This window comes from Homo sapiens, chromosome 1 (assembly GCF_000001405.40).
Source record: "Homo sapiens chromosome 1, GRCh38.p14 Primary Assembly".
NCBI classification, from domain to species: Eukaryota; Metazoa; Chordata; class Mammalia; order Primates; family Hominidae; genus Homo; species Homo sapiens.
The window spans coordinates 185,433,816-185,442,263 of record NC_000001.11 but is presented as its reverse complement, the minus strand read 5'-3'; the positions used below and the strand labels follow the sequence as shown (position 1 = coordinate 185,442,263).

Below are 8,448 nucleotides of genomic sequence, written 5' to 3'. Positions count from 1 at the left end.
ACCAGATGGTCTGCTTATTCTTATTATAGCTGAAAAGAATTCAGCCAGATTAAAATAAATCCTCTATAGTCATCACCTAAGTGTTAATTCAAGCCCAATGCTTGTCTCAATACCAATTTTTCTATTTATGGTCTTAGTACAATGTCTTGGGGGTGACAGGAGTGAATGGGATGACAAACTGCATGTTTTCTTTATACCCTTTGAATGAAACTAAGGAGACTTAGCAATTTTTCGAGGGACTTATGATTTTAAGTTCTTTTTACTATAACTAGGATGCTAGCTAATATCCTCCACATGACAGCCTGAGAACAGCCACCAATCCTAGTTATAAGGGACTTATTGCTCTCTAGGAAATACAAAGGGCCTGTTCCAGGAGATGTTTCAGAGGAGAACTTATGTGTGGCTTTGGCTTCTTGCCCATGGTGCATTCCAGCGTCGTGCACAATCCCTGGGTTCCATATCAGATCACCTAGGTTCAAACCCCTGCTCCAACACTCATCATTCTTGTGAATTGCTTCACAGAGGTTGCTTTGAGGATTCAATGAGATAACACATGTTTTATGTGTCAATTTGGCAAGGCTACAGTCTCCAGTTATTCAACCAAACATTAATCACAGTGCTCCTGCGAGAGTATTTTGTAGATGTGCTTAAAGTACATAAACCTGACTATAAGTAAGGGAGGTTATCCTCAATAATCTGAGTGGGTCTGATTCAATCAGCGAAAGACCTTAAAAACCAAATTGCAGTTTCCCAGAGGAAGAAGACATTCTGTCTGTGGCTGGTAGCCTCAGCTCGTGCCCCAGGGTTCCAGCCTGCCCTTCCTAACAGCCTCACCTACAGAGCCCCCACAATCACATAAGCCAATTCCTCTCAATAAATGTCTTTATATATGTCCTGCTGGTCTTGTGTCTCTGGTTGAACCTTGACTAATGCAAGACATAAAATATGCAGAACAGACACTGACACAGTGCTTAGAAGGCTTTTGCTCCTATTTTTGTAGGTGATGGCAGTGGTAGTGGTAATAGTGATGGTGGTGTTATATAACATAAACTGGTGTTTTCCTATTCCTATTGGAAATTTTCCAATGTCCAGTATTCTGTCCCATTGACCCCATAAGTACATTCTTTCTTGTCAGATCATGTGACTCAATGTTTCATTCAAAAAAATGCAGCCACTAAAAATTCTTCACTTAACAGACAGAACAACTCACATTCCAACCCATGTCATATGATTTCCACAGCCCAGTAATTAAAACATGTCCCAGTAGAAATATGTGCTTTAGACAATCATTAGCTTGGAGAAATTTTTCATCCCTTGAGTATTAGAACAAATTCTACATTTACTTTTTTTTTTTTTTTTTTTTTGAGGTGGAGTCTCACTCTGCAGTCAGGCTGGAATGCAGTGGCGCCATCTCAGCTCACTGCAACCTCCATCTCCCAGGTTCAAGCGATTCTCCTGTGTCAGCCTCCTGAGTAGCTGGGACTACAGGTGCACACCACCATGACCAGCTAATTTTTGTATTTTTAGTAGAGACGGGGTTTCACCATGTTGGCCAGGATGGTCTCAGTCTCTTGACCTGGTGATCCGCCTGCCTCAGCCTCCCAAAGTGCTGGGATTACAGGTGTGAGCCACTGCGCCTGGCCTCTACATTTACGTTTATGTTTTTTTTTAAAGCCTAAGAATTATAGTATTTCCTTCCACTTGTTCTTGTATTTTCAACATTCTTTCAAATACATTAATTTTCACCTCTTCCTTTCTTCCTCTGCTATTTTCCACTTAACATGGCAGAATTATTTCAACTCCATGAAGCTATCTGCATACAGCAATTAATTCTCTGCTAATAGATTTATTCTATCTGTAACTGACACAAGTTTGTGGCAACAGCCACACAAGCAACTCTTAGACCTGATGACATCACATTTTCCACTGACCTAAATGTCTCATGCAAATTTGAAATACAAGATTGTTTTCACTTTTTTTTTCTAATAAGTCTCCATTACTTCATGACTACTTTGTCCTCCAGAAGTATGCTTTACTGGTTCATTTGACAGACACTTATCAAGCACCTGCTATGAGCAAAAAGAATGTGTCACCTCTCCTATTCTCATGGTGTTTTCAACATATATGAGAGATAAACACAAATAACTCTATTAGTTAGAAGATGTTGATAACTGTCATGAGGGTGGTTCAGACAGTGTAACAGTGATTCTGAGAAGTGAAATGTCACTTCTGGTTGATTGGGTGATTACATTGAGAATAGCCTAATGACAGCTTCTGAGATAATTCTTAGAATGTCTAGGATTTCAACAGGCTGACAAGGAAGTAAGAACCATTCCCGAGAATGAGAATAGCACATGAGCACTGAAAATGACTCATTTTATACATGAGGAAAGCAGACAAGAATTGGCCCAAGGGCATGCAGCTAGTCAGTCACAATAAGAACCTCTAGCTGGTGGACCTCTAGCTGAGGCCAGAAACCCCAAGGAAGCTCATATAACACCTTTCATCTGTAGCTTCTCCACTCCTTCTAGTTATAGTATGGGACAGAGACCTGAACTTCTGGGCCTTCCATGAAGAGGCCATCAAAATGAATTTCTCATGCTTTATTCCCTTTTAACTCAACCACTCTCAGAAGCCTAAGACCCTATCATTCATCCACCCATCTCCCTCCGGTCTGGATCCCATACTCCTCCATTCATTCCCCCCACCTTCTCTATCCTCTCCTTTACTGGGCTACTGGGGACTCCCAGTTGGTGTTCATCTTCTTTTCATAACTGAAACCTTTTCCTTCCTATAACCACAAGCAAGGGTTGCTTTTTTCTTAATAACCCATGAACCTAGAGCCTGGTTGATGTCTTCCTAGCTCCTAGTACCATTTTCAAAGCTTTCTTTTGCCTCTCCTTCTTTAAAATATCCAGCTCATATCATTAGACCACAATTCACTCACATCTCCCTCCTTGTGGATGGTATATATCAACCTCCTGACCACTCCTCCACTCACTGGTGACATTTTTTCCAGTCCATTACCTTCATGTCCTCACTGCCATCTGTGCCCAGACACCTGCTTGCATGCAAACTCCTTTAATTACTTTCTGCCCCTTCCCTCCTTCTGACTTCCCCAGAAAACCTTCAAACCTGATTAAATTTAACTCTGGCCAAATTCTTGTAACTGAATTTTGCTAAAGAAAACCACTCAATGCCACTAAATAGTTCCACCATAAATTCATGACTCAGAGTCATGAATGGATATTTGACACTTCCCCAGTGTGCTTGTTTTCCAGCTCTCATAGACAGCTATTTTATTCTTTCTCTTCCTCAGACATCTCTGTCTCATCCCAGCTGTTGAACTTACCTCCTATTTTCCTGAGAAATTAGAAGCAATTTAAATGGAGTTACCTTATCTTCTCATCACCAAATCTATATATCTCCTTTCTTCTGTGCGTCTGCTTTCTACCTTCTTTCCTGAAGTTACTAAGGTAGATGTGTCCTTTCTTCCAAAAAAGCCCACCTACTCTACTTAGATCTCTGAATCTATGTTCTCCCACTACTTTGCAATTATACCCTCTCTGTCCTATATCACTGTATTTCTCCCATGCTTCTGAATCAGTTGCATCAGATCTAGTTTCTCTATTTAGAAAAATCACCCTCCCTTGACCCAATATGCTATCTAGTTATTACCCCATTTCTTTCCTTCTCTTTATAGCAAACACCTCAAAAGAATAACTCTATCTCCTGTCTCCACTTTCATACCTCCCAGTCTCATCTCAACCACTCCAATCAAGCTTCCATGTTCTTGTTGAGTTCGCCAATGACCTCCATGCTACCAAATTCAATGGACACATCCTGTGCCTTCGTCATGCTGAACTTCTTAGCAACATTTAGTGTTACTGACCACTCCTTAACTTTCTGAAACACTTTTCTCTCCCCAGAAGAATGTCGCCCCACTGTCCTAATTTTCCTCTTACCTCACTGGTCTTTTCCTCTTCAACTCCTCCTTTACTACCTACCTCTGAACTTTGGAACAGTCTTGGATTCTCTTCTTTTTCTCTACTTACATTTGTTTCCCAGGTGACCTCATCTGAGTCTCTGGTTCCAGTCACTTCCACCATCAGAGTACAGATTCTTGGCTGGGCCTCATAGTGCTTAAAGGGACAAGCAAGGATGAGCCCAGATGGGAATTAGGCTGCACTCAACCAAGTGTACTCCCCACCAAAATTAACGGGGTTCCCAAAGTCACATCCTGAGGCTCATTCACATACTCGCTTCTCCCTATGCAGTGTTTTTTTTCCCAGGACAGGGCATCACACAGACTTATCCAGAGCCATCCTTTGTGTTGAACTTCCATGGTCCCCACTCTGAAGCTGTGAAATCCCTCCTTCTTCCTCTCCCAAGTCTGCTTCCTGTCACAGAATGAGTTAACTCCTTTCAGAGCGCAGTCCCCACAACCACCTCTTGTTTACACAGACCTCCTGATTCTGCATCCAAGATTTTTTTACACTGTCATATCCTTGCTTATACATTAAATTCCATTTTATGCTACCCTGTATATATGTTGTTTGCATGAAATTCTTATCCTCTACAACAAACCACCTTCCAAAAAATAATCGACCATTCATTCCTATGTGGCCCCATAAAATGCCAGCAGGGAATGCCATGTGGCACAGAGAAATTTATTTCTCCAAACAGGTAAAACAAAAAGCTTGGTTTAACAATAATAAGTACTTTATACTTATGCATACAAACAACACCAAAAAATCATATTTCTTTATTCTTGTTTTCCTTTGCAATAGTCCATTACTATGTCATATTTCAAAACAAAAGCTAGTTCCATAGGAAGGAAAAACAGATTAAGTAATACAATGAAGAAAGGAATAATGTGTTTAAGGTTTGAATGTGAAATCTTATGTAGCTTTTCCAAAAATACCAATTTGGCTGGCACTTTACTATCTTTAATCCTGAGCATGAAATTTAAACTTCTATGGAGATAAAACTATATTACCCATAAACGAAACAAGCAAAACAGTGATCCCTTCCTGATTGAACTCAGGATGAATTTCTCTTGCAACACTTTTCACATTTGAGTAATGTACTTTTTTCTCTAGCCATTTTAAAATAGATTAGATTTGAAGCTCTCAAGGAGTCAAGTGACAACTAAACTAAAATAGGGTAGGAAGAAAGGTCTCATTTCACGTTCCTCAAAGCATATTCCACTGACAATTAGTGCATTGGATAGTAATAATGTTTATGACAAAGCCTATACTACTTTTGTTTGGGTTATGAATTATTTATTTATTACCTTTAATGAAAACCAGACACTGCCTCATTACTGTCCCATCCAAGAATTTGTCTTGCAATGAATTCTGGCAATATCTATTTTTCCCCCATTAGAGTGGTATGCATTTTAAAAATTAGAAGTGATATGATTAGGTGATCTGTTCAGGTCAATGTTTCTAGGACTATAAATTTATGGTTAGTAGGTGCCAATTCATGTTATTAGAAATTTGGAGACTATATAAGAAAGAAGTACTGGAGCAGTCAGATTCCTGAGTCTTACTGACCATCATTAAATTAGGAACATAGGAAGGGGCCACAAAACAGCTTTGTTCCAACCTTGAGTGCCTTAAGAGCTCAGGAGAGGTAGACATGTATTATTAAATACCGTATCCATTTCATATTTAATCTTTGTGTTCAAGGAATACTCTTGAGCTAATGGTTCAATCAGATAGTGCACTATGATAAGGGCAGGAATGAGCTTGGGTGGCATACACGTTTGGAGTTAGGTAGACCTATATTTTAATCTCAACTCCACCTTAGACCTTACGTGACTTCGGACAAATGGAATAATCTCTTAGCTTCAATTTATCTTTCTGAAAATCAAAAGGCTAATACATAACCTCAGTAAGCCTGTAGTTTGGATTTCATGATGTAAATGTATGTACAGTGCCTGGTTTCTCTCTTTTTTTTCTTTTTTAGCCTGGAGCTCCTTCCTGCCAGTCCTAAGGGTGGGTCCCTGGGTACAGTAAGCAGAATTGAGGTCATACAGGTTCAGCCTTTGACCTCTGGCGATTGGGCCCAATGGAACAGCAGGTACAAAAGTCCAAATGCTCTCACTTCAGGTATGGCCAGTGCTCAGCCAGGCTGCAGCAGGTGGATGGGGCACCATGGTTCTCTTTTGGTGAAGAGTTCACCATGGTAGTGTTTCTTCTCAGGCAGCTGCTATGACCATTTGATGATTCTAGCCAGGAACTGCTGCACCCACCACTCCATCCAGGCCAATGGGCACAAATCTGTGCAGCAGGGGCTAGGGTTCTTCTCCATGCACTGCATAGGCCTTGGCTCACTCTCCTGGCTGGGCCACCATCTGGCTGCAGTTCCACCTGCTGCCAGGCTTCAGACACCCAGTGAACATTCTCCCCATGGGTATAGTGCCTGGCTTCTAACAAGAGTTAGTTCCCTTCCCTTGAACAATTTCACATCAGGAATCAGTGGTAGATACCATCATATCACAACTGCTCACTGATTCTCTTAGGTATTCAGTAGAGTATTAGCCTATTTGTTGCCTCTTTAGAGACAAAAAGATTTCTAGGGCTTTAGAACTCAATGATAAGCCAATCTCCATCTAATGATCCATTTCACAGATAGAACTCATGGCTCACAAATGGTTTTGTTAACTAAGATAATAAAAATATTAAAGCCTTTCTATAACAAAGTAATGTCTGTGGGCCCAGCTACATTTTTTAATTAGACGTAGATTTCTAACACTCATTGAGTTCACTAATGCATATGCTCCAGAACAAAGGCAGGGGATTTTTTTTATTATTATTAATGCAGAATAGACAAGACTAAGAGTACACACAACAACAATATTTCTGCGGGGGCTGAAGTTTGTCAAATTTATTAAAAGGTTAAAAGTGCTCTATGCTTTAGACTCAACAAATAATATATTCCAATGAAATAATCATGGTTGTGCACAAAATTTTACCTATAAAAGTGTTCAAAATGCTACATTTGTAATAATAATAAAAAACTGAAAACTAGTGCTCCAAAATAGAGGATTGCTAATTAAATTATGTTATATCCATACAACAGAGCTGTACACAGCCATCAAAATGATGTTGTAGAATACTGGCAGAGTGTTATAGAATATTGTTGTAGAATAGATATTGTAGAAATACATTAATAGTTAGTTAAGTGAAAACAAGCTATAAAATGCTATGAATAGCATTCTTCCATAAAGAAAGACAAGGAAGAGAAGGAAGGAAGGGAGGGAGGGAGGGAGAGGGAAGAGAGGGAAGAGGGGGAAGAAAAAAAAACAATATTAATAGTAGTTTACTCTGGACAGTAGAAATTTGGGTGTTTGTTTTTAATTTGCTTTTCTTTTTATACTTATCTGTTTATTACAATGTATTGTAATTATGTATTCAATTATGCATAAGTATGGTAATTTTGAGCTAGTTTTAAAGAAATAAATTGTCCAAATATCCCAATCAGTTAAAACATCATGGAGAAAAAGAATAACAGGCCAGGCGAGTTGTTCACACCTGTAATCCCAACACTTTGGAAAGCCGAGGTGGGAGGATCACTTGAGCTCAGGAGTTCAAGACCAGCCTAGGCAACACAGTGAGACCTCATCTCTACAAAAAAATTTTAAAATTAGCCAGGCGGGGTGGTGTGTGGCTGTAGTACCAGCTATTCCTTAGGAGGCTGAGGCAAGAGGATTGCTTGAGTCAGGGAGCTGGAGGCCACAGTGAGCCATGTTCACACCACTGCACTCCAGCCTGGGTAACAGAGTAAGACTCTGTCTCAAAAAAAAAAGAATAACAGAAGGGGAGGAAAGATGAGAACCTGTAAAATATAGACTACTCCCTGACAAATGTCTAGAGAAAATTTTTAAACATGTTTTGTGAAAATTGGACATTAGTTAATAATAATTACATAATAATATAATTTTTTGCATGTGGGGTTTTCCAGTGAAAACCAGAAAATCTAGTATATAAATTCTAAAACAGCTGTAACATTATTGTAATAATATTAATAACAAATATTTTACTGTTCATAAAGTGATTTCAAACTAACTTCACTGCCTTTATTAAGTGACTGCTATGTTGATCAAAAACTCCAGACACCATGTAAATAGATTTCTGCAAAGCATGTGGAGTTTCTCATAATATTCATTGCAGAAGATGGTGAAAGTAAACGTAAGTGGATTATAAATTTGCTGAACAATTGAAACACTCAGGAGATTCAAACACTTATATATTTAACAACTGCTCACATAGAGTTTCCTACATGCCAGACACTGCTTCAGAAATATTAGAGGCTTCAGAAATATTAAATTACTTCATTCTCACAACAGTCATAGGAGATAGGAGATGACAAAACCCTATTATAACTTCCTTTCTACAGAGGGCAGGTTAGGTAACTTGACCAAGGTCAGAGGGCTAGCAA

At 39.3% G+C, this 8,448-nt stretch overlaps 2 pseudogenes, besides 1 other annotated feature; both read right to left on the bottom strand.

Moving 5' to 3' along the window:
• Positions 2,198-2,247: an enhancer, noted in NCBI's record as "active region_2244". NCBI's record gives its function as "activates an Ori minimal core promoter by ATAC-STARR-seq in GM12878 lymphoblastoid cells {active_cell/tissue: GM12878}" and the evidence as "EXISTENCE:reporter gene assay evidence [ECO:0000049][PMID:35858748]".
• On the bottom strand, positions 6,217-6,425 carry MCRIP2P2 (MAPK regulated corepressor interacting protein 2 pseudogene 2; annotated as a pseudogene).
• On the bottom strand, positions 7,959-8,020 carry RNU7-183P (RNA, U7 small nuclear 183 pseudogene; annotated as a pseudogene).